We start from the raw sequence: 27859 nt of genomic DNA on the forward strand, positions 1-27859 counted from the left end.
ATTGATTTTTATTTCGCTATTTGAAAATGTGTATTAGTCTTAGCCTTTAGTACATATGACTCTAAACGTAACATAGTTCTTTCAAATAAAATACAGACATTTTAATTGTGTGGAAGCTTTTATATGCTGTGTGAAGTGACTATTTGCATATTACATCATGTTTCAATTGCATTTTGCTCTTATTTAAAAATGATTTTTTCCTCCAGCAAATTAAACATATGGCCCAGACAAGTAGTACATTGTGCACATAAAATTTCTAACAATTCCTTTCAGAGATTGCCACTGTGTAGATCTAAGTACAGTTGTCCACTTAGTTCTCTCATAACAAGCCTTTAGAGATGCTAATAAACTAATACTAAAGTAATAATGAAGATACTATTAAAATATGAAAACCAAATCATATATGTGTGGTATATCCATTAGATGTATACATAAATTAATCTCTATATATTTATTTTTGCTTCCATAAAGTATTCTCAGTGACTTCCTAGGGTTTTAATTGTGTAAGAAAATACTCTCAATGTGTTGCAAGTTTCTTAGCATCACGGGGAATTGCACTGTTATTCAGATAACTGGATTAACAAGAAACTGCGTCATCCTTGAATGGCTTACTCTCCCTTATCCCCCGTAATGAATTTATTACTAACTCCAGTCAACTCCAGTCGGTTTTAATTCCTAAATATCTTCACTCCATTTCTACAAACATCATACCAGTTTGGATTTCCATCATCTCTTTAGTACTAGAATAACCTTCTAACTAGTTCTCCCAATTACGCATTTGCACTCCCAAATCCGTTCTCCCAATTCTTATTGCTCCTAGGAAAATACCAAAATCTTTATCATGGTTTATAAAAGACAACCTGATCTGGTTCCTCTTCAGCATCATATATTCCCTCACCCCCCTCATGAATAGTTGGGCCCCACTGATCTACTTTCAGTTCCTTGAGCACATGCTCTCTCTGATCACAGGGCCTTGCCAGAAATTGTGCCTTCTGTTGTGAATACTACCTTGCATTCCCCATCTCTCCTAATACTTACATCACCAGTACACCATTTAACTCCTATATAAGCCATCAAAACACGAGCTTAAAGGCATTTTTTTTTCTGGGATCAGGGAAGACTTCCTGCCCACCATACCCCCTAACACAAGGTGAGAATTCTGTTATATACCCTAATAGATAACATCATGTACCTTCATCATAGCAATTATTACAGTTGATAATTATACATTTGTTTTTGTGATTCCTTGAGGATTCCTGTCTCCTCCACTAGATGTTAATTAACTCCATGAGATCAGGAACAGTATTTGCTTTCGCTCAATATTGTATTCTTAGCATCTAACACACTGCTAAGGATATACCAATGATTTAATAAATATTTGTTGACTGGATAACTGAATAAACAAATAGGTATTATTTATGAAAAAGTCATTTATATAATTTTTGGTGATGGTTGGTCTGTGACTGTTCGATTGCAGAGGATATTTTTCTACCTTCCCCCAAGTGGCAGCTGTAAATATTGCAGCCTGGTGAAAAATGAGAAGTCTCAGTAACTAAGACCTCAACAAAGGGTTGTATATGTGAGCTGTCAACTCATAACTGACAGCAGTAAAAGTACTGCTATGATTTTAAATGTAATGTTATCTATACAAGCAGGTGAAACTTATATATGCCTAACACCATATTTGCATTATTGAACAGTCCAGCAAAAATTTTGAATAAGTTTCACTTGCCCTGTTTCATGCAGCACGAGGTTCACATTCACATTTTAAGATAGCAGATAATCAAATCATATCACTGCTATGCTTTATTAAATAAGCAAACTCAAATGTATGTCAAATGAGTTATAGCATAATTTATAAAGTTTTAAGATTATTGCCAATACGGCTTACATTTCACACTATATATTTATGCATACATGTAATACAGTATGAATATATTGCCTGAATATATGACTATATGGAATATATATATTGAATATATATGAACATAATTGAAATATGGTGTTACTAAATGAATACCTTGCTAAGTGATATAATGCTTAGTTCATATACTTTCCTGGCTAAGCTTTCTTATTTCTGCTGTAATATTACATTATACTTTATATGTATTACACGGAATTGCACTCGGCTATTTTGCAATGACCCAAATTTGCATTAAATTCCATATATCTACCATAATTCATACATTTTATTATCCTGGTCATGTTTCCTGTTTTTCATCTGCTAAAAGATTGATGATTTTAAGACAGCATGATGAGTGCTAGACTAGTGCAGTCAGTCTGGGGAGGAATCTGAGTTCTGCATTTTTTTTTTCTTTTTTTGGCAGAGGAGTCTTGCTCTGTAGCCCAGGTTGGAGTGCAGTGGCACGATCTTGGCCTCACTGCAAACTCTGTCTCCCGGGTTCAGGTGATTCTCCTGCCTCAACCTCCCATGTAGCTGGGACTACAGGCGTGCGCCACCATGCCTGGCTAATTTTTGTATTTTTAGTAGAGACGAGGTTTCACCATGTTGGCAAGGATGGTCTCAAACTCCGGACCTCAAGTGTTCCACCTGTCTCAGCCTTCCAAAGTGTTGGAATTACAGGCATGAGCTATGGCACCCGGCCTGAGAGTCTGCATTTCTAACCAGCTCCCAGATTTCCATGGACTACACTTGGAGTCACAAGGTAATGAATCAGGGGATGAGAAACTTTTGAAAAGAGCTAGATGATAAATATTTTGGATATGGGAACCATGTAGGCTCTGTTGCAACTACTCAGCTCTGCCATTGTAGCTTGAAGTCAGCCACAGACAACATATGAATGAGTGAGTGGGGCTGGGTTCCAATGAAATTTTATGAACACTGAAATTTGAATTTCCTACAATTTTCCCATATCATGACATATTATTTATCTTTTTGTATTTTTTCAATCGTATAAAAACAAATACATCATTCTTAGCTTGTAGGCCATACAAAAACAGTCTGTTGTTGCCAACCACCCTGCTATGGTATAAGATGCCGATCGATAACTGTTGTAGAGGCTGGAGGGGAGGTAGAGTGTGACAGGATAGGCTTTGTAGAAAGGATTACAGTTGAGCTAGGACTTGAAGAAGGAAGGCTTTTCCTGGACAGACAAGTAGGAGAAAGTGAAAGACAAAGATGTAAGCCAGCAACAGCATTAGTATGTTCTCTGAACTGAAAGCAATGGATTGTGGCCTGAGAAGAACAAGCCCGTCTAGGTTGAGAAGGCTCAATGAAAGGGGGGTCCCTTAAATGCATGTCTAAATAGTTTTAAACCTTAATGAGTAGTGATGTCAGGTGAGCATCCAGAATGAGCAGTGGGGGATGCTATTAAGTTCTACATCTTAGAACTTCAAGTCAAGAGAGAACTGGACTACTGGGAGGGAGAAAGTATAGAAATGACTGAGGAAACCAGGAAAAACTGCACTTGAAAGGCCAAGGCTCTTTGAAAGTGACTACAAAATGTTCTCAAATGAAAGCTTTGTGGATGCTTTATACAAATGATCAGGGCTTGCAAATTTATTGATGAAATGGGAAATATGTATCACATAGCCGGACAGAGCAAGCCTGTCAAGCCATTTTTCCATTGCTACAGAGCACACAGCAGATTAAAAAGGGAAGCTAAGAACTGAGGATTGAAGATTTGAAAAATGGTCTCCCCAGATGCCTCAGTGTCTGACTGACTTTGCTGATAAGCTACAGAGTAGGAATACACGCTGAGGGGTAAAATGAGCATATGGGTTTTATAAAAGATGTTTCTATTAGTTCTCTGGAGGTGGCAGTGAAGTGAGATAATGAAATACTACAAAAAAAAACCAGAGCTGGAAATTATGAAAAATGGGATATCAAGTAGAAAATTAACAAAATCCAGTGCTTTTGGAAACTCTCTTCTCCCAATTATTTTTCTATTTCCCATCTCGTTCTCACCCATTTCCCCACAGGATGCTGTCCAGTTGTTTTGGAGGTATGTTTCATTGGAATAGTGGAGTTAAGATTTGCTGAGTAACTACTCTACAAAAAGCATGACTAATAAAAAATCTCATCATCCAATAAATGCTGAATTTTACTACCATTTAACAGATGAGGAAAGAGAGGCTTGGAAGCCTACTTTATTTATCCAGATCTCCTCCAAAATAGGCAATACATCTGCCAGTAGATGTGGCTTACCTATAACCCCTGGTAAAAAGTGGGAAGCAGAGCAAAGGGAGAATTTCCGCTTTTCCACAATAAGGGAATGCTAGTTAATCTTCCATCTTCCAGACGTACAGGAAAGATTTGTCTTTGGCTTTGTTCAAATCAGAAACAATTACCTACAAGTTTTGGTCACAGCATTTTAGGTAATTTTTAAATACTGGCTAACCATGAGAGGAAAGGCAGTAAGGTTTTATTAATAGAAGTTAGAAAGGGTAGCAAATATAGACATAGTAAACTTAATAGGGTTTAAAAAAAAATTCAAAGGACCTGTGATCAGGTTTCCCACCAAACAAGAGAGATATTAAATATGGTTATAAACTATCATGTATTGAGCATCTGCTCCATGCCAGGCACTATTGGACAGTGTACAAACTATGTCCTTTAATTTTCACAACATTCCAATGACTGGTTATTATTACCTATATTTAACATATGAGGCCTAGGGGCTTAAGCGAGTTATCCACAGTCCCCTGAGTCCTATAGGTTTCTATTGTGTCAATCTGGTAATATTAAGTACCTAACACATACCAGATGTTAAACAAATGTTAACTATTGTTTTCTTGCTAGTATTGTCATTATTATAACTGACGTTTACTTAACTCCTCCAAGCCTTACTTACCTTAACCATAACATGAAAGTCAACACAAAATAAGTTTGCCAGAATGATTAAATGAAACAGCCCACTTAAAGTTTCTGGCATACAGAAGCCACTTAGTCAATGTTAAAACCGTATAAATTTTCTCTTGAAGGATGTTTTTTATTTTTAGATGAGGCTATATAAGACAGTGTATATTGATGCTTTCAGCTATTTAGTGGCATGCCCCTGGATAATGAACTTGATGTTTATCTTCAGAAAACAATGTTTGACTAGAAAATGACTTTTTTCAAGTGCCTGTGATCAGGAGGTTAAGAGAGTTTATGGCTGAAATATTCAGCATACACATCAAAGTTTCTTAGTTTTTTCTATTTCATATGCTATTTCCTTTTCCTCTCTTCCTATAATTTGTCTCCCTAAGAACTTAAATAGATATTTTATACTGTTTGTGTATTTAGCAAAATAGTATTATTTATAATGCAATTGAAATAGTCTAAACCATTGGTGTCTTAGTCTACAAGTTGTCTCTTTTTTTGTTGTTGTTTTTTTTTTTTTTTTTTTTGAGACAGAGTCTTGCTCTGTTGCCCAGGCTGGAGTACAGTGGCATGATCTCAGGTCACTGCAACCTCTGCCTCCCAGGTTCAAGCGATTCTCGTGCCTCAGCCTCCTGAGTAGCTGGGATGACAAGCATGCACCACCACACCTGGCTAAGTTTTTTGTATTTTCAGTAGAGACAGGGTAGGCTGGTCTTGAACTCCTGGACTCATGTGATCCGCCCGCCTCAGCCTCCCAAAGTGCTAGGATTATGGGCGTGACCTACCCCACCCAGCCCCAAAAGTTGTCTTTTAATAGTTGAAGCAATGTTTACTGGTAGAGCATAAGCGCTCAATAAATGTGTTAAATAAATATCAGATGAAAGAGTAAATGAACAACTCTTTCCATTATTACTTATTATTTTTATATCTTTAGATTTCCACAAAGAATGCTTCCCTAAAATTGGATATGTACTTATCTCTGCAAATTCATTTTGACAAAACACATCATATTCTCCTAGATATAAAAGCACAAATGAATTAATCTTTATTACACTTTACAAGTTAAAATTATATTTGAAATTGATTTTGCTACTTGATGTGCTAACATTTAAATGCAGCTCAGCTTCCTTATATTGTTTCCTTCATAATGCTTCTCTTCATTTAAAATTCATTTTGATGATTTCTGGCACTCCTTGTGCCTTTAAAGCATAAGATAAAATTTCAGTTTACAACCTGATCTTTATGTTATTGACTAACAGCAACCTCTGATTCCAAAAGGAAAAAAAAATGACCAAGCATCTCTAGCATGTTAAGAAAGAACTCCTGATAGTTTAGAGTCTTCTCCAAATTTGTCAAATAAAGGCACAGCTAGAATGTATATTATTAAAAAGAGTAATTCTTTGGGAAAATGTTTATTTGAGAGCTTATAATTGAAAAGCTAGCTCGGGGAAAGAAAGCCCTGATGTCAAATTAGGGGAAAAAAAATGAAGAAAGGGCAAGATTAGCATGCATTGTAATGGAGGGTGCTAAATAAGGCTCTATAAAACAGTGCATATTGATAATTTCAGCTATTTAGTGGCATGCCCCTGGATATTTAAAAAGATATTTGGATATAGTTTACATAAAACCTCCAAATTTCAATAGTTGGTGCCACCTTCACCATAATAAATGAGTTCCTGCTCTGTTAATTTCCATGACAGCTGGTTGTTCAAAAGAGCCTGTCACCTCCCTCCCCGCACCTTCTCTTTTGCACAAACCAGCTCCCCTTAGTATTCTGCCATGATTGGAAGCACCCTGAGGCCCTCACCAGAAGCAGATGCTGGCACTATGCTTCTTGTACAGCCTGGGCTTTTCTAAAATATTCTCTACTTATAGTTTGGGTGTTTGACCCTCCAAATCTCATGTTGAAATTTAATCCCCAATGTTGAGAATGGGGCCTAATGGGAGGAGTTGGGTCATGAGGTAAAATCCCTCATGAATGGCTTGGTGCTGTCTTCATGGTAATGAGTGAGCTCTTGCTCTGTTAGACACCATGAGAGCTGGTTATTAAAAAGATCCTGGCATCTTTCTCCCTCTCTCTTTTGCTTCCTCTCTCACCATGTGATCTTTGCACATGCCAGCTCCCCTTCACCTTCCACCATGAGTGGAAGCAGCCCGAGGCCTTCACCAGATACAGATGCTGGCACCATGCTTCTTATACAGCCTGCAGAACTGTAAGCCAAATGAACCCCTTTTTAAAATAAATCACCCAGCCTCAGATATTCCTTTATAACAACACAAATGGATTAAGACAGAAAGTGAGAAGTGGCTTTTGAGCTCAACATTGAAGACAGAATAGAATTTAGAATTTGAAGGGGGAAAGAGAAAGAGTATCTCAAAGTGTGTGTTGGAGTAGGGGAGTTTCATGAAAAGCTTGGAAACCAATGAGTGTTGAATGAGGCAGGGCTGATGGTCTGTGGCCTTACTGGGTTGTACTCAGTAATAGGAGATCAGCTGGAATAGGTAAGTGACAGCAACTTCCAGCAGCTCTACCTTCATTAAATGTTATGATATCATGAACCAGAGAACATAAAGTTCTAAGTTTATTTTGGGGGAATGTTATGTAAATCCAAGATCATTATTTTTGATTCTTCATATTAATAGGCATTAAGTGTGCATTAGAACCAAAAATGGATAACCAAGGATATGGTAAGAGGCAGATGCCGATTTGGTGGTTTTGATATTTACGGTAGCTCTTCTAAAGAGAAACTCCTGTTAAGTGCTTAGACATATGGGACTGGCCAGCCTAGGCAACATGTCAAAACCCCATCTCTGCAAAAAAAAAAAAAAATAATAAAAAATTAGCCAGGCATGGTGGCACATGTCTGTAGTCCCAGCTACTCAGGTGGCTGAGGTGGGAGGATTGCTTGAGCCCAGGAGGTTGAGGCTGCAGTGGGTTGTGATTGGGCCACTGTACTCTAGCCTGGGCAACAGAAGGAGACCCTGTCACAAAAAAAAAAAAAGAAAAAAAGAAAGAAATATGGAACTGGAACTCTCATCTTTGTCTCATAGTTTTGATGCTTTGTGCTAATTATTATACCTGTAACAAACATCCCTTGCCACCAGGTGGCTACAGAGTTATGCCATGTTTTCAAGAGCTTAAGACTCCAATGTAGTGAAAGCTTTTCCAACTCACAACTTTAAAAACTGATAATCTATTTAATGTTCTATCTACTATCTAGACAACCTTTTAGGAAAAGTTGACTTGAGTTCATCCCTTCTCAATATTCATAGGTTTAGAGAATTGATTTATATTCCTAAAGGGGGCACTAAAGCAAATGAAATAGAAGGAATTCATATGATTTGTTTTCAGTTTCTAGTGAATTCTGTCATTTAAAAATAATTTTTATTCGTGTTCCATAATTCACTGATTGAGATTCCTTATGGCAGAGTTATAGCTGTGAGAAGAGATGTTCACTGAATTAGAGCAAGAGAAGGATAGCAAGCCTCTATAAAGCCTTAAGTGGAAGGTCAGAGGCAATTTGAATAGTAGTAGTTGGCAGAATACAGATTCAGTGTCTCTGACTTCATTAAACGTTATGATATCATGGCCTACAGAACATAACGTTCTAAATTTATTTTTTGGGAAAATTATATAAATCCAAGATTTTTTTTTGACTCTTCATATTAATAGGTAATGCATTAAGTGGGCATTAGAACCAAAAAAGATGTAAGCTAGTTTTTAAAAGGCAAAACACTTCAATTAACATATCAAAATACTCTTGTCACAAGGAAAGAATGTTGTTCATTGCCCTAAATTATTCATAAGTTTTCACATAATTTGCTGTAAACCATAGACTGATAGAAGAGTCCAGAACTAGTAGTTGATGTTGATACAATGAATTTCATCTTTTTCCCCTTCTTCTACTTGTGCCTATGAGGGTTATAATAAAGAATGAGTGGACTAAGGTATCTGGAAAATATATTCTTAAATATTAGATTAATTAACTAAGGTAATGATGGAGAACTATTATGTGATCAGCACTATGCCAGGAATTACTGGGGTTGCAGAAAAGTATTGGCCAAGATATCTGACCTTCACTTAAAATCTTATTGGTGCGATAAGATTAATTAACATAAAATAAAGAAAAAGAACAGTGTGCTCTAAGCAATAAGGTTTATACATGTACAAAGAGGTGAGGAATTAATGAAGCCTGCATTTCAGCAGAAGATCCTTAAGGAAGTGCTCTTATCAACTGGGATGAATTGTATAATCATTTTCTGTCATTATCTCTTTCATATCATTGCACAGTCTCCTTTTTATGCCCCATGCAGGCCCTTGCACATGGTAGGTGCTCCATAAATATTTGCTGCTGGATCAAATAATTTTTTCACAAGGATATAGTAAAAGCAAGCAAAAGAGAGACATTTTGTTTTTCTGTTGAATAGTTATCTTGAGAAAAAAATCTGCATTGACCATGATAGAGTACCTTATCATTAGATCATAGGATCAGAAAGTAAAGCTTATAAATCTGCTTTCTAAAGAGTGCAGTGCCCAGTAGCTCATCCTCACAGGCTTGAAGAATGAAGACCAAAACTGGAATGCCTAGTGGATCCTGAAAACAATTTTAGTTCACTAGTCTGAATCAATTAGACATGACCTATAATATCAAGATTGCATGTAGCTAGTAGTTAACTTTTCAGCAGAAATGTTTCTCTAATGCTTGGTATATGTAAAATTTGATGGAAATATTTAAGTAATGTGAATTTGCTCTCTTTTTTAAAAGCAGTATTTAAATAGTATCTATTTTATGCCTAACAAAGGCAGGAGTCTTTTATCTTGATATCTGTATCTATCTATCTATCTATCTTTTAATTGAGATGGAGTCTCACTCTGTCGCCCAGGCTGGAGTGCAGTGGCACGATCTTGGCTCACTGCAACTTCTGCTGCCCGGGTTCAAGTGATTCTTGTGCCTCAGGCTCCCGAGTAGCTGGGACTACAGGCGTGCACCACCATGCCAGGCTAATTTTTTTTTTTTTTTTTTTTTTTTTGCATTTTTGGTAGAGACAGGGTTTCGCCATGTTGGCCAGGCTGGTCTTGAACTCCTGACCTCAGGTGATCTGCCCACCTCAGCCTCCCAAAGTGCTGGGATTACAGGCGTGAGCCACCGCGCCTGGCCAATATCCTTATATTAAGGAACTCTTATTTGTTTAGAAATGCTCCTCTTAAATTTCAGTCCTCCAAATAAACAAACACATTGACCAGTATTTGTTGCAACTAGTAGTTGGCAAGTACGTAATTTTATTGGAACATGGTTAGGCATAATTAGAACAGTAGCACATCACCAAAGGTAGTGATAGAATAACAGCCACCAATAAAATAAAAACTTTGGCGGAATTTCTGTAGGTGAATTATCTGTACTACAAAGATGCATTTTGACGTGTATGCACACTGAGAGCAATATAAGAATTTAGGATTAAGGCTGTTGATATCATACTTACATATAAAACAATTATTTTGGGTACTACAACTGCTTTTCAAAACTGTCAAATAATGAACATGTATTTTTCGGAATGATGAATTAGATGGAACCACACCTTCATAAGTGAATGGCCCAATGTAAACTATTAAAACCCACAATTAATAAACAACTAGTCACATGTTATTTTTCCATCTTTTTATATTTATATCTGTGAAATGATCTGTGCATTTAAGAGAGTATCTATACTCTGGTTACCCAACAGTTTAGAAACGGGTCTCCATTGGAAAAACAGAAACGGGTTAATTTGTATCTTTCCCTTCAATTTGCTATTATTCTAGAATTTTAGGGGAGAAAATATGCCCATTTATGAGTCACAGAAAAGCCTGTGCCCTTTAATATCTGGAGTACACTTTCTTCCCCGACTCCTAAAGTGGGTAATGCTTACTTTTAAATTGTTTTCCTCCTCTTCATTTTTTAAAAGCCGTTAGCCAAGAAGGGACTAGGATATCACTTGTAGTTCTCATTTTGCTGAGAAGTTTCTGGTATTTGATTCCATTCTACTTCAAATGTCTGAGAAAAGTTCCAAACCTCAACTTTGTACATGAAACTTCCCCATACAGGGAGGACAGGCAAGAAAGTAATGGGACATTTTATACCTATTGTAAGAACCAAGCATTTGTGGGAACGTGAACCAACTGGATCTCTTACACATTGCTAGCAGAAATATAAATTTGTAAAATTACTTGGAAAAAGTTGGCATTATCTCTTAAAATCGAACATTCACAATCTGTATATGATGTTTTGTTTTAATTTTTAATTAATTAATTATATCTATAGAGCCATATGTGGAGACATGACAATGGTGATTCATACACCAAGGGTTATAATTAATCCAGTTCTGTGCACTAGAGGCCAGATTATTCCTAGAATTCAAGGATGGCTGAGCACCTAAGCAGCATCATTTGGTAAGGCAGCATACCAGGCTAGGACAAAAGTCAAGGGGGTATAGAGAAAGGCACTTGTTTTGGTGGGAACACTATTAATTAGAGTAGTGCTTGGTTCATAAAATTTTATCTATGAATATTTGCTGACTTAATGAAGCAAACAATGAAGAAAAAGGTAACGATTATTTGCCAATGGCTGCTTGAGGTGGCAGATTTTCAGCGATAACCAAGAGAAAAAAAAAAGAGGTACATCAAATGGATAGTTTTCTGTTTTGTACATTTGAGAGAATGTGAGTTCCTTCCAGAGGCACAGGAAAGATGTATCATTGTCCTTCAAACAATTCAAGGATAGTGATCTACAAATTTGTTGTCAGGAAATATTAGGCAATTTAAAATAGTCATTCAACATATATGCCAACATAAAATAGTTGGATCTAAAGCAACTTTTCTTTTGTAAGGGGAAATTATAAGAAGAATAGAAAATTGTAGAATTATTAACTAAAAAAAATTCCAACATTTTTTTACCAGATCCCGCACAAATGGTAATTTGAAAAAATAAAAAAGAGAGTTGGTATTGGTGAGTGGGGAGATTTTTAGTTATGACAATAGCTATTAATTATTAAATGTTTAACAACTAATGTCAGGTAGTGGACTAGACTCTTTGCAAGTTATTTCTTCCAATTCTCACAGCAGTCAATGAAGTAGTTATTACTGATTCCATTTAATATATATGAAAACAGAGGCTACAAGAACTTGAGTGAGTTTACCAAAGTCCCACAGCTAGTCAGTGACAGTGCTGGGATTCTGAGCCCAGATCTGCCTGATTCTAAACTCACATTTTCTTCACTGGAAGTTGACCTACGTTTGCAGTCACCATGTTGAGTGAATGAAGCAATGGGTTCTGAGATGTTTCTGGTCACCTACCCACTCCCTCCTTTAAGCTTGTTCTTCTATACAGAGCATGGGGCCCCAACCCCAGCTCTGCTGTCTACAGCACTGCCAAGTGACCCATTGGGCTCCATCTTGACCAACTGGGCATCAAGCGGTGCAAAAGCAAATCCCTCTCAAAGCTGGGAGAGTCACACCGTGGGCTACTCCTGCATGCAGCTGGGTACATATCTCCTGGGTCCTATGACCTGCCTAAAAAAAGTGAGAGAGTGGAGAGACAGATCCAGGCAGCTCAGTAACTGCTATTACTAGAAAAGCGTGACTATGTCTGGCCGGGCGCGGTGGCTCACTCCTGTAATCCCAGCACTTTGGGAGGCCGAGGCAGGCAGATCACAAGGTCAAGAGATCAAGGCCATGCTGGCCAACGTGGCGAAACCCGTCTCTACTAAAAATACAAAAAAAATCAGCTGGGCATGGTGGCGCACACATGTAGTCCCAGCTACTCGGGAGGCTGAGGCCAGAGAATCCCTTGAACCTGGGAGGTGGAGGTTGCAGTGAGCCGAGATCGCGCCACTGCCCCAGCCTGGTGACAGAGCGAGACTCCGTCTCAAAGAAAAAAAAAAAAAAAAGTGACTATGTCCGTACCAGGTTAATAGAAGATACTCAGTAAATATTATCCTCGCTATTACATTATCATAATCATTACTAGCTGTGAAGCTTTTAGCAATTTACATTAACCCCTCTTAGACTCAGTGTCCTAGTCCATAAAATAAGGTTGACACTACTGGAATGATCTACGATTGTCATGGTGATTACATGACAAGATAAATCCATTTAAATTTCTGGGCAATTTGCTCATTAAGTGTTAGTAAGACAGAGAGATAAGTGGTTTTCTCCTTTTGATGTGATGAAAATGAGATTATAATTATCTTATAGATGATGGCACCCATGTATTTGCCCCACATTTCTACTAGCTTCCTGACAAGCTAGGCTTCCCCAGCCTCTTCATTCTCTGTATATAAACAGTCAGCTTAGACCTAGTGCTGATAGAATTCCCTTTCCAGTTCTTTCTTATAAGTTAGAACTACATTCAAGGCTCATTCCTGGCCCCCTTTTTGTCCATCATGACACCTTCAAATACTCAAGTCCCCACTAATCTCTCTCTCTCTACCACATAATTTGACGATGATCAATTTTTCATTTATTCTGTTCATTCACCTTGTTAGCTTATTAACTAATTGGTAAACCCTTTGAAAGGTCTATCTTCTCATAAATCTTAGTACTTACTGCAGCACCTATCCCAGTGCCTTTCATAAAGTAGAAGCTAAATAAATAACTATTGCTGGATAAATTAATGTAAGTTATCTATGAAGTCAGCCATCAATTTTTGTAACCAAAACTGGAGGCAAGCTTTAGAAGATTGAATGTCATAGTTTTAGCACTGTATAAAACAAGGTACTGTTTTACGTGATAAAATACAGGATGAAAACTCATTTAAAATTTAGAAAAGATTAGTTTGAATCCAGGATAAGGTAAGTAAAAAATAATTATTTTGAAGGAAGACCTCACCTCATACTATTCTTGTGTTAAAATTATGGATGGTAAACTTGCCTTCCTAGGAAATGTATTGAGGGGGGACTCCCACAAAAAGGACATGGCCCTCATTAACCCAAGGTCATATTTATGTTCTGATCATAAATCAGATCAGATCAGGTAGCAAAAGAATGTACACAATCTGCATTTCATTTACAATCTTACTATTTTCAGACAATTGAGACAAAATGTATCAGTTAAAAATATATATCTCAATAAATACTTACTGATTGATATGTAAAACCCAGTAAAAAAGATGACACATCTTTCCTGACAATTGGCAAGGATTAATATAATGAGTTCTTTATGCCATAGTTTGGTATATATTTTAAACATTATAATTCTTTCAACTATAATCTTTATCAATGCTATTGAACCAAGAATAAAAGGAATGTGAACATCAAGTATGTGGGTGATATGGAATGGGAGTAGAAATTGGCCCGTGCCTTTATATAAACCTCCTTGTCTTGATGTTCCAGAGACTGGCCTCCTTAGAGGAGGCCTCCTTAGAATTTATTAAATTCTAATAAATATTATTATTTAGAAAAATAAATACCTTCTTTCTTAGAAACATGTCAAGGTAGGGTGCTCACGTGACCTAATAACCTTGCAAATGAATGTCTATAATGATAGTTTTATTATTTTCTCTTTATTATTTTAACACAGAATGAATGCTATTTCAATATATCTTCATCCCTTACCCATAAACACAAATATCCCACTGATAATAAGATGTGAGAAGGAAGTCTTTTAAATTGATTTTTAAAACTTAATTTCTTCAAATAATATAGTCTTGGGGCTCATCTTAGAGGTCCATGTGGATAGGTCAGAATCTGTCAACATTATGTCTTTTTCTCAGCATTTTTCCTAAGGGAAGCATGCTATTTTGTTTCCCTTGTAATTATTTTTGCTTCTTTTTCCTGCTAGTGTACTTTAATTTTATTTGGAAATTTGAGGATGGAAAATTATGATTATTTAGATTTTCTAATAATATAAAACACTTTTTGTGATAAAGACTATGAATTCTCTTTGACACAAACATCTGCCTGTAGTTGAATGAAGTATTATTTAGGATAGAATGTAGTATTCAACAGGAAAAGCAATTTGTCTAAAAAATGCTTCTTTCCTTGCTGCATTTACCCTCTTGCCAGCTTGATGTATCTGCACTGCCTATTTGTTCTTTGTTACTGTCAAGATAGCAAATTTCTATCTGGAGCAGATGGTGTAACTGCCATTGTTCAAATGCTTCAAATTCATTCTGCTGCTGGGTATTTTTATCATTAAACCTCTAATTTAGCAATATTAATAAATTGTATCTATGGACTATTCTGTCTGGGATGTCTGAACATTTGTTAAATATCTGAACATAAAAATATATATTCTTTTGATATCATGAAAATTGTATCAAAATTTATTTGATTATTTCTTAACAGAAATCAATGTAAAGATGTGTTTTATTAATATGTTCAAAGGCATCATTCTCTCTCTCTATATATATATACACATATATGTGTGAATGTACACATATATATGTGTGTGTGTGTGCATGTATGTATTCTAAGCAGATAAAACTATTGTTTTAAACACCTAGTGATCTTACATTTTGGAGAGGTAGTAAAAAAGTACGTTAAATATATATGCATGTGTATATATATATATATAGAGAGAGAGAGAGAGATGGTAGGTAAATGCTATAAAATTTTAGCTATTAGTCATTAGTTCTATAAATTTATTAGTTGTGTATGAATCTATAATAGAAGGTACTTGTTTCCCTTACTACTTCCTCCATTACTTATCTCAATAGAAATTTAAATAATCTTGATGTGTGTCTTCATACTCTTAAATAGAGAGTTTAAATTTAAATCTACTTTTAAATTACAAATGTGGGCCTTTTTATCTATACGTTCTAACAGCATGCCCCCCTCACCCCATGTAGAAAGCCATCATACTTCATATTTTACCATCAGGAAGGAATTAGAAACAAGGCTAATTTTTTTACTCTCCACCATATTTTCAATGCTAAAATGATTAAAACTGGAGCAACAAACATTTTTCAGTTAACTTTATCCTTACAGCTTTAAAAAACAAGACAATAAGTGAAAATTTGCAGAAATATTAATAACTTTTAAACAAATTATACTTACATATAAGAATTCAGTAAATAGAATTCTGCAACTTATCATGATTTTTCAGTGATTATTACTTTAGAAATTATTTCATTCACTGTGGTCTGTAAATTGTGGCCAGCCATGGTGGCTTACACCTGTAATCCCAGCACTTCAGGAGGCCGAGGTGGGCAGATCACTTGAGCTCAGGAGTTTGAGACCAGCCTGGGCAATATGGCAAAACCTTGTCTCTACCAAAACTACAAAAAATTAGAAGGGCACGGTGGCACATGCCTGTTGTCCCAACTACTAGGGAGGCTGAGGTGGGAGGATCCCTTGAGCCCGATGAGGTAGAGGTTGCGGTGAGCCGAGATCACATTACTGCATTCCAGCCTGAGTGACAGAGTGAGACCCCATCTTAAAAAAAAAATCAGTAACTAAATAGAATTCTGCAACTTATCATTATTTTTCAGTGATTACTGCTTTAGAAATAATTTCATTCAGTGTAATCTGTAAATTGAAACAATATCCCATAGTTGGACAACTGTACAATCAGCAATGATCAATTCTAATTTAACAAATGTTGAACAAATCAACAACTATTAGGGTGACTATATATTCTACTTTTCCTAGGACAGTCACAGTTTATGCTTATTGCACATGTATTAAATATAATTTTTAACTCTCAAAAGTGTCCAATCTGGATGCTAAATTATATACTCATTCTGATGCACCAAGGTAAACCTGCGTGTTACATGCTGATATATATAAAGAACTATAAACAAATGTCCCTTACCTGAAGAAGCATACAAAACTTATTAATGATGCAAGATATATACATAAAATTCTTGCCAAATGTGTTTTTTATTAAAAGCTTCAATTTTTGGTATAGCCAGTAAACACTAAAAATTCAGAGAAGAGATATAAGGATATGGATTAGAATGGTTAAGGCTAGTTTAATGGAGTTGCTGTACTAAAAGACATTGTGGGCATGAAGTCACATAGTTATGGGGATGAAGACGAATATGGTCTACAGCGGATCAATCAACAGTGGAAATGACTGAATATAAAGAAGAGTATGTTAATAAGAATAATAGGTAAGGACTCAGAAATTCTGGTCTCTTGTCCTGCTCTTCCACTGGCTAACTTTGTATCATTGAGAAAATTACTTCTTCATTTTGACTTTAGTTTCTTGATTTGTAAAATGAGGGATTGAACTGGATTCATCCATTCATCAGTTTTTTTATGATGAGATTACTTTGTGCAAGACACTCCACTAAGGACTATGTAAATGATTTTTCAAGTTCCTTTCCTGCTTTAATTTTTATGGTAATCACTTTTGTCACCAATACCTCCAATGATATTGTTGTAGCCAGTTTAGAATCACGTGCTTCTATGTCAAAGAAGAATATTTCTTGCAGGTAAATGTTCCCAAACCAACAAATATTTGTTGCATTAAGTTGAATTGAAACTTTTTTCTTGCAAGTACCCTTTGTTTCCTAATTGGATTAGAACCATGTTTTCATTCCCTGTGATGGTAATGCAACCCTAGAGTGATAAGTGACTGCCAGGAAAAGCTGGCTTTGTGTATTTTCAGACTGTGAATATAGCTGTTATGTTAACAGGTAACTGAGGCTGCAGCCAACTCAGCTGGGAAGCATGAATGCTGTGCAATGGTTTTTTTTTTTTTTTTTGTCCCTGCTTGCAAATGAAACCAGTTTCCCATTTGCCCTACCTCCCCGATCTAAAGAATCTTGCTCTTATTCCCAGTGCTAATCACCTAACAGGAAAGGTCATGCTCCCTGGAGTGGAGTTATGGTACTGAACAGCAAGGAACTCTAGCAACTCAAAGAAGCTGAGTTGTCTTCTGTGAATCCAGCTGATTCAAGGCTACAGGCCCACTTCCCAGTGCAGGTTTTCCTATTTTGAAGGGAGTTGGAAAAGTAACCCTAAAACATCAGTATGGATTATACATCACTTTTGATAATACACACTGATGCTCCCTTCCACTAACTGGATAAGTTGAGGATAGATCTAGCCTAAAAGGAATCTGATGAGCAAGAGAAAATTATTTTTACTTCTCAAATATTCATTCTGTACTTGAAAATTGTGGCATGATAAATGTAGCTGTATATTTATCCATAATTAACTCTGGAGCCTTCTTAATATATAGTATATGCAAAATACAAGATCAAATGCAGATCATGTTTAAGTTGATAGCTCATTCTTTTATCTTTGTCACTTGTCAGAAGTCAGAGACAGATATTGTGTGTGCCTCTACAGGATATAGTTAAAGCCAGGTGGAGTCTACCTCTGACTAATGTATGATTTTCACATTGATATTGATGGTCATGAAGCTAGCAGTAGGGAATTAAATGGAGAGAACTCAAGACTTTATCAAGACAAGTTGAATGAAAACTAAAAGTAGGAAAAAATAGGAGTTATAATAAATGTTTGATCATAAATGAGTGCTACAAGGAAAGCAAATAATCGTGAGGGTATTTATTTTCTCCAGATTGCACTTTTACACACAGAACACGTTGTAAACGTTGTTACCAGGGGTTTCCTCTCACTTTTGGTGTGGTTAGGGATTGGCAGGGAAACTGAAGTCCTTTCAGGAAAATATTCATAGTCAGTACCGTTTACTAATTTTTTAAAAAAATAAGTGAATTTTAAGTGTTAAGAAATTTCTACTAGCTTTCCACATAGATCTGTTGACATTTTTTAAGTGTATTTTTTTTTCAGAAATACATAATCTTGTAGGTTTAAGCCTGTAAATATACAGAGGCACTTTTAAAAGTGTTAAATCAGAGATATGAACAACTGAAAACTAACCAATAGGAGCTGGAAATAGAGTTGTAAGCAAATGGTTGGGAATCTGTCTTTTCAAATATACTGCATGAGAAATATAAATCAGTCTTTGTTTTATTCTGCCAGTCATATTAGAATATTCTACACCCTCAATCTATAAAGCACTCAAAACTTTGAAAACTTCTGACTAAACAAGGAGAAGTAGGAAGAGGAAAAGAAAAAAGCATATGGAATTGCTTGACAATGTGCTGAAATATTAAGCTGCAGACATCTCTGACTAAGTGTATGTGTAAAATAAAGACCAAATTTGAAAGTAGATTATTTATTTTGAAAATGAGCTCAATTATTTCAGGGTCTAGAAGCAAACACAACGTAAACCTCTACTCATCGTGTATGTGTGTCGGTATGTGTTAGTGTTTAATTACCACTGTGGCAAAATAAGAGCATGATCCAAATTCTGTGCCTCATCCCAGAACTTTCAGAGATTATTGACACCTTACAGAGTCATTGTAAAGGATCAGGTGCAGGAAGGAAAATTAAAATGCAAACTCACACTGACGTGCAGAGTGAGTAACCAGTCTTAGAAAACCTGAAAAGCCATGACATTGAGCAAGGCAAACTGGGTTTTAAACAGGCAATGGGAAGGCTTCGTTTTTTGCAATTGAAAAAAAAGCAAAATTCGCTAAGGGAGAGTGAGTGTAAACCTAAAAGAAAGGAAGCTTAATTGAGACCTACAAGATGGTGGGTATGTCTTTTTTCCCTGAGGAGCTATGAAACTTTTCAGGGACAGAAATAATAAGAAAATAGATCTGCATCCATTGTGGTTCAGGGTAACTGACTGGGCTCTTTGCCTAACTACTAGGCAACTTTGCTTAATGTAGAAAGAAATGACTCAGGTTAAACAGAATGCTTCGCTGATTTTTCCAAACAAACCTACTTAAAGAATTTCAGAAACAGGGAGTTTCCTCTCAGATGAGCTAGTGAAAACCTACTCATGCCCCAAACAATGTAGTAAACACAAATTGAGAGCGAGCAACAAAATAGCCCGAGAGTTCAATATAATGTGGAAATTCATAATTTAGAAACAAAGTCTGTCATTTTTAATACCTTCAAACAGGAATTTAACAATGTCTGTCACTGTCCATCTTTGAAATGCAGAGGTATGAGATGTTATATAACCAAGATCTTTAGGTTAGCAAGCATATAGATCAAATATGTTGTAAATGGAATCCTTGTACAATTTTAAACCTTCTTAAAGTGATAATTTGTAATATGTTTTTGACCATTATGTAATACGTTTATTTATTTATTTATTTATTATTTTTTTCTTTTATTATTATACTTTAAGTTTTAGGGTACATGTGCACATTGTGCAGGTTAGTTACATATGTATACATGTGACATGCTGGTGCACTGCACCCACTAGCTCGTCATCTAGCATTAGGTATATCTCCCAATGCTATCCCTCCCCCCTCCCCCCACCCCACCACAGTCCCCAGAGTGTGATATTCCCCTTCCTGTGTCCATGTGTTCTCATTGTTCAATTCCCACCTATGAGTGAGAACATGCAGTGTTTGGTTTTTTGTTCTTGTGATAGTTTACTGAGAATGATGATTTCCAATTTCATCCATGTCCCTACAAAGGACATGAACTCATCATTTTTTATGGCTGCATAGTATTCCATGGTGTATATGTGCCACATTTTCTTAATCCAGTCTATCATTGTTGGACATTTGGATTGGTTCCAAGTCTGTTATTGTGAATAATGCCGCAATAAACATACATGTGCATGTGTCTTGTAATACTTTTGTAGGTTTCAGTAATATTCTACAAGAAGAATGGATAACCTTAATGATCTCGAATATTTCTGGTTTTACTTTTGCTTGAGCAGTTTCATAAATGAATATTTTACTTGGCACATTATTTTTATTATTAAAAGAAAAAGGGCTTCTCCTATTACAAAAAGTAGTTCTATAAATATTTTGATCAAATTTTTAAACTATGTGACAAAACAATGTGAAATAAATATTTCAAATGCCATTTATTGATGAGTAAATTGTAAATATTGCTAAATTCCATTTACAAATTCTTGGAGGAACTTGGTTTTTAAAGGAAAACATCATGATCAATGTATGGATGTGCTCATTAGGAGACTCTTGGCCTTTTTCAGAAGGTTATACTCTGCCATAGTATAAAGAATCCTGGTGTGTTCGGGTGATATTTTCAATCTAAAATCTAGGAGGCAGGTGCTCACTTGTCCTCCTCCATGCTTGGAAAATGCAGGGAGGAGGCCATAGTGGCAACTGTTACCATGATTAATTTCGTTGGGATAGAAGATGGACCCGCTGGTTGTAATCAATGCATTGAGGACTCTCAGATCAGTGGGACTGTGAAATTTTAAACTCCTCAAGGTAGAACACAGTGGTAATGTTTTGAAATTTAAAGATTTTGAAATGCAAGCTACTTTTCTCAGGCCATTTCTTCTAAACAACACAACATAATGTTTAAGCCATGTGTTGTTCACAGATTATAATGTTGCAGTGATAAAATATATACTCCATTGGCAAAAATAAACAGCGGTAAAGGGACTGAGATTCTTGATTTTTAACTTTGTATTTAACCTTGTGTAATGCTGCCTGGAAAATTTTTGTAAAAGTATGAATAGATGTAAGAAGATTAATATATTATTACTGTATTTTACAATCTTTCTGTCCTTGAGTTTGAAGTATATTACAGGTTAAGGTTAAGCCAGGAAGTAAGATTGCTTTATAGAACTTTATAACTTTCAAAATTGACATTTGAAGAAATTGTGCTATACTATAATAGTGAAATAATAGTAATTACAAAGTAAATATAATCATCATTGAAATATAAATTTTCATACATTTTTTGTTCGACACATATTTATATAATACTTAATATATGAAAGGTATTTTCCATTCATAATCTATTTATCTTTAATGATAATCATTTTAGCAGTCTAATACTGGAAGTAGTATTTTCTTCAATTGACTGATGATAACGAATCCTCGAACCATAAAAAGTAGAATTGGATATTGTCAGTCTCTACATCTCTACTTAAATGTATTTTACATTCACTTTAAATGAAAACAATGAAACACATATATCTTTAAGAGTGATTAATGATTAGAAATAAGGGAGGCTTCTTATATGACACGGAATGCTAGTTAGAATAAAGTACACGGCTGGGCCATTGGGAAGTTGAACATTAAAGACTTTGCCAATCACATCTTATCATTTGCCACACTGCAGGTAGAGATTTATCCACATTTTGATCTTATAAGACTCAAATCTCATAGTACACAAAAGGTGTGTGTTACAGAGTGTTTTCAAGCTATGACATACCACAATGAAGCTTGACAGTAAATGTTTAATGGTTGGCTCTTTTGGTAACAAATTGGGCATATTTTTAAAATTATTGACATTCATTTTTGCAATGGCACAAACATCTTTTGAAGACTTACTAAATACAGGGCACTATGCTAAGTGTAATGAAGACAAAAGCAGATTCTGTGCATTCAAGTAGCTTACAGTCTGGGGAATAGAGATTTCTTGACCTTATTTCAAAAGTAGGACCTTTCTATCTTATGGATTTGTGATACAACATCTATTTTATTGCGCTGTTTCTCCTTGTTTCGTTCTCTTTCTTTCTTTCTTTCTTTTCCTTCCTTCCTTCCTGTCCTTCCTTCCTTCATTCTTTCCCTCCCCCTCCCTCCTTCTTTCTTTCTTTCCCTCCCTCCCTTTTTCTTTCTTTTTTCTTTCTTTCCTTCTTTCTTTCTCTCTTTCCTTCTCCTTTCTTTCTTTCTTCCTTTCTTTCTTTCTTTCTTTCTTTTTTTCTTTTCTTTTCTTTTCTTTTCTTTCTTTCATCTGTGTATTTCATCAGTGTCTACACCAGGCTGAAGTGTAGTAGCACAATCGCAGCTCACTATAACCTCGAACTCCCTGTCTCAAGCCATCCTCCTGCTTCTCCTTGTTTCTTAAACTTGAATAAAATGTTTATTCGTAGTAGATTTTCTGCTTTAGCAGATGCCACTGGATTCTGTTGACATATAAAATTCACGAATAGATGCATATATTTTCTCTTAAAACTGTTTTCTGCTTTTGCATAGTCCTTATATTTTAGAACATGAAATCATTTACCCCTGTACTCTGTTAGAAGCTCTTCTGATATGGTGACATTGATTAGTATATTCTCATTTAAAAGTGGAGAAACAGTTCTGTGAAATACTGAACATGGATTTCTGACTAGCTCTCATAGTGAGGGTTTTCTTTTATGATTTGATTAGTTTTCAAAGTAAAAAAAAAATCTATGTCTTTCCAGACTTGGCTAGGTTCAAGTGGTCATCCATATAAGATCAACAAGGGATAAGTTGATTTTCTTTCAACACTTGCTTTCAACATTTTACTTTTTTCCTCATTAAAATTCAAATTGCTCTCAAGAGCAGAGAAGTATGACTACATTTCCCAACAGATAATAATGAAAAATATCATCGAGAAAAGATGTTATGCCATTTTATTTTATTTTAAGTTCCAGGGTACACGTGCAGGATGTGCAGGTTTGTTACATAGGTACACGTGTGCCATGGTGTTTTGCTGCACCTATCACCCCATCACCTAGGTATTAAGCCCAGCACGCATTAGCATTTCATCTTGATGCTCTCCCTCCCCTTACCCCCACTCCCCGGCAAAAAGCCCCAGTGTGTGTTGTTCCCCTCCCTGTGTCCACGTTTTCTCACTGTTCAGCTCCCACTTACAAGCGAGAACATGTGGTGTTTCATTTTCTGTTCCCGTGTTACTTTGCTGAAGATAATGGCTTCCAGCTCCATCCATGCCTCTGCAAAGAACATGATCTTGTTCCTTTTTATGGCTGCACAGTATTCCATGGTGTATATGTACCACATTTTCTTTATCCAGTCTATCATTGATGGGCATTTGGGTTGATTCCATGTCTTTGCTATTGTGAATAATGCTACAGTGAACATACGTAAGCATGTATCTTGATAACAGAATGATTTATATTTCTTTGGGTATATACCCAATAATGGGATTGCTAGATCAAATGGTATTTTGTTATGCCATTTTATCAGGATGTGGTCTTCATTCAGGCAGTAATAAAATAAAGTACATTAATTTTTATACATTTTTGGAAATATCAAGGCTACATCTTCATAGCTTAATTCCTATTACTGTGCCTTATATGAAAAAATATGCAATCTAAGAGGAGGGAATTGCCATAAATTAAAACTTTGAGTGTTTAATTAATACTATGTGATACCATCATATAGAAAGTTTAAAAAACTTAAGCAAATATTTTATTTTGAAGCTTAGGAATATACAAGTTAGTATCTTATATGTAACACGGGTAGATGCCAGTCAGATTAATAAGTGAGACATTTATTTATGTTTTTATTCATTTTTTGATGTATTTACTTAGGCTTTAGGTGTTGTTGCTTGGCTTTTGTTTTGTTTGTAGGGCTGCTGTACCTGAATGATAACATTTTTCTAGCTTCTGAGTTTGTTTAGAAAAATGTGTGATCTTGTAATTTAGGGCAGTGGATTGTAATTTTTTATAGAAATTAGTTTTTAACAAATTAGTTTTTTTATAGAAAGATTTCTTGGACTGATTATGAATTTTCAGTTTACAACTGACACACATAATTGTTTTCTTGTTAACAATAAGCTTTAGCCCCCAATGATTTTATAATTATCTTCCAACATTTTGCATATTGGTGTTATTGATGAGTAAATCAAGAAAAAAATTCAACAATGAATTTTGCACAATAGAATCAATTTTCTACAAAAATAACTTGAAAATAGGAGACATGATTTTTAAAAAGGAGAAACAATGGTATTATTAGTGAATTAAATGTGAACTTTGTGATATCAGATTATTTTTGCTGTTTTGGGGGTTCACACTTTCATTCTATGTAAGTGAAGTTCCTAGATAAATGAGTCTTTGCAGATTACAGAGCATTCAAAATATATTAGGTTGGTGCAAAAGTAATTGCTGTCTTTGCCATTACTTTTTTTTTTTGCACCAACATAATATATGTCTTATTGTTTGCAAGAGCCATGAAATCTAGGTTATTGATTTGTGTCTTAGGGGAAATGGGAGTAGCAATATTGATTACTTTGTAATCTTTATTTTGTCTTCTTTAATATATATGTTAGTGTTTTTAATGCAAACTTCTTATTGCCATAAAGCTTTATCAGCCTTCACATACTATTTATGACTATGTTGGCTTTTTTTCAAGTGAAAATATGAACCACAGTTAAATTGGATGATTTAACCTGGGCAGTATGGGGATAGTAACAGGGTGGGAAAGAGTCTTTGAGCTTTGACTTTGTGTCCTGTCTGGAAAATCCAAATTAATCCGTTTTAACAGGATTAAGCTCTCAGTGTGAAAGTACTTTGCTAGGAAATTATCAAAGCACAAGTTAATTAGAACACAGAGCTCCTTGCATGGGCTGACAGTTATTAATTACATGTTCTTGGGCTGGCTTAATTTCAGGCAATTTACTGCTGAAAGTAGTAGAAACAAAAAGTTTCTCTTAGTTTTTAGTCTTGTAGAGAAAAAACAATCCCTCAAACTACCAACTGCGAAATAACTGCTGTATAAGGTATAAAGAAGACATATTTTAGATTTAAGTTCTTCAGCCAGTGTTTTTGGTCATTTTATTCCCTTCACTATAAATGTGAATTCTAAGTGCAGTTAGTGGAACAATTTGGGAACTTGTGTGTTTGCCTAAGTAAATAGAGTGTTCAAAGATTGATGTAGCTACTGGTAGATAAGTGTGAGTTTGCCTTGTTTTAGGATTAGATACATTTCTGAGAAGGGCTGCGCACGGTGGCTCATGCTTGTAATCCCAGCTCTTTGGGAGGCGGAGGCAGGCGGGTCACTTGAGGTCAGGAGTTCGAGACCAGCCTGGCCAACATGGTGAAACCCCATTTCTACTAAAAATACAAACAAAATTAGTCTGGCATGGTGGCGCACACCTGTAATCCTAGCTACTCAGGAGGCTGAGGCAGGAGAATCGCTTGAGCTGGGGAGGTGGAGGTTGCAATGAGTAGAGATTGCTCCACTGCAGCCTGGGTGGCAGAGTAAGGGAGACTCCATCTAAAATAAATAAATAAATAAATATATATATATATATATATATATATATATATATATATATATATATTTCTGAGAAGTTCTATGTAACTATACTTTTTTTAGTCATATTGTAAGTGCATGGGAAATTATTTAATGAGCTTTATGAGCCTCGGAGGTTCACATCATGGGATTACTAGAACCATTGCATTGTTCCCTTTTAATTTTTTCTCCTCATACTTAAATAAAATTATAATCTTATTCTTAAAAATTAGATTGGTCTTACCTCTTTATGGTTTATCGAGTTGGCATATCACCTACTTATGGGATCTGAACGTTTTGGTGCTTGAGCCTCTGTTGAGTATTACATGCCTCTGCTAATAAACTAAGTACTGCTAGAGGCAATTATTTTGAGGTAATTATTTTCTCAAAATTGAAAGTATTAATGATTGGTGGTATCATACTGTGGAAAATAAATGAAAAGTGAGAGCATAGTAATTAAGTTCTTAGTTCTTAATGCTGAGTTTCTTAATTATGGTTTGTCCATGTCATGATGTAAGTGGCTGAGGATGTCAGGGTATTGCCCAGACATACAATGAAAAGATGAGTCAACAGAGAATGAGGGCTCAAAAAATCACCAAAGTGCATTCTCTATAAAAAGCAGGTGGAGAGAAAGGAATATAACATTTTTCAGGAAGGGATTATGGGCAACTGGAAGGAAAAGACACATGAAAACAATCCAAAACACAAGAAAAGGCAGCATTTCATACCTCTATTGTTTGAGGGCAGGGGGCAGACAGAATTTCTGAGCTGATGGCAGTAATCCCTATTCTACTGAGTACTATAAAGCCACTTAGCTACAAAAGAGAGAGAATGAAGTATAAGGAAGCTAAAAAAAATACGTAACATTGAAAAAGATGTATAAGTATCAAGTTGTGACAGGAATGTAAAATATAGAAGAAAATTGCTATATTAAGGCTCACATAAGGAAAAAAAAGTGCCTCAAGAAAACAGCATGAAAAGATAGATTTATGCAGGAGGAATTAAGGAATATGAGAAAATGTAGTGGACATGCCTGAAACACAGACATCAGTTTCCCTGGGTAGAGGAGGGAGTGATTGATGGGGGAAGTGGAAGAAGGAGAGAGAGGGAGAACGTAATAATAAAAAAAATGAGTAAATGACAAAAAATTAGGGAAGCAAACTGCCCCAGTTGAAAACTGATTTCCAGAAGCATAAAGGATAAAGTTAAAGGGAGAATTTAAGAATTTAGAGTTTAAGGGGAATCTTGGATAATTAATTAAAATCAGGCAACTATGAGCAACATAATTGAAAGTAGGTACATGCACTGTGTGTTTAGTATAAGAATGCAAAAGGCAAGTTGATAAAAATGCAAAAGATTGTGGTGATTTATGCAAGTTCAGGGCAATAAATAAGAAAAAGACATTTTTATGAAAAAAGATAAGATATGGACCTTTTCTGAATGATCTTTATCAATCATTAGATAGGATCATTATTCTGAAACAAGCATTAAAAAGTTGTTAAAATATAAGAAATCTAGGAAGGTTGATGGATGATTATGAATAAAATGGAAAACCGGAAAAGAGAAAATTAGATTTGTGAATATTATGCACCATAAGAGATGAGATTGCCTCTTTTCTATGTGCAATCAAAAGGTCTAAGGATTTTTGTACTTGAACTTAAAAGAATTTATGCACATTATTTATGTTTTCAGATTAGCTACAGTATATCTTAAAACCATTATGGGAGTAAATATTGAGTAGATTAATTAAAGTTTTATATCAATTCAGATAAATACTTTAAAGGTTTAATTTATTGACAAATATCATTTGAAATTAGGTAAAATCATCTAGGTTATTAAAATTATTTAAAGCATATTTAGATTTTTGTGATATTCTTAGAGACATCTGTGATTTGACCATATGGCTGATCATTCTATTTTTAGTGCATACCACAGATCTGTTAATAAAGGCTAAATTGTCTTTAATTTTAGGTTCAGACCTATGATAAATATAAATTAACCTTACAATTTTTTCCTAATCCATAGAATAAATTTTAAATTGTTAAAAATCACAACATTATTTTTCCTTAAAAGG

At 35.3% G+C, this 27859-nt stretch overlaps 1 protein-coding gene and 2 non-coding genes across 5 annotated transcripts in view; all 3 read left to right on the forward strand.

Annotated features, from left to right (window-relative positions):
• The window catches only part of HTR2C (5-hydroxytryptamine receptor 2C), a 325976-nt gene that overhangs the window by 34489 nt on the left and 263628 nt on the right, over window positions 1-27859 (forward strand). The gene's annotated exons all lie outside the window — the stretch shown is intronic.
• SNORA35 (small nucleolar RNA, H/ACA box 35) lies at window positions 12223-12350 on the forward strand. The gene has a single exon (NR_002993.1). It is a non-coding gene; the product is annotated as a small nucleolar RNA, H/ACA box 35 (small nucleolar RNA).
• MIR764 (microRNA 764) lies at window positions 20861-20945 on the forward strand. Its single transcript, NR_031581.1, has one exon. It is a non-coding gene; the product is annotated as a microRNA 764 (primary transcript).

This window comes from Homo sapiens, chromosome X, assembly GCF_000001405.40.
Source record: "Homo sapiens chromosome X, GRCh38.p14 Primary Assembly".
Classification (NCBI taxonomy): domain Eukaryota; kingdom Metazoa; phylum Chordata; class Mammalia; order Primates; family Hominidae; genus Homo; species Homo sapiens.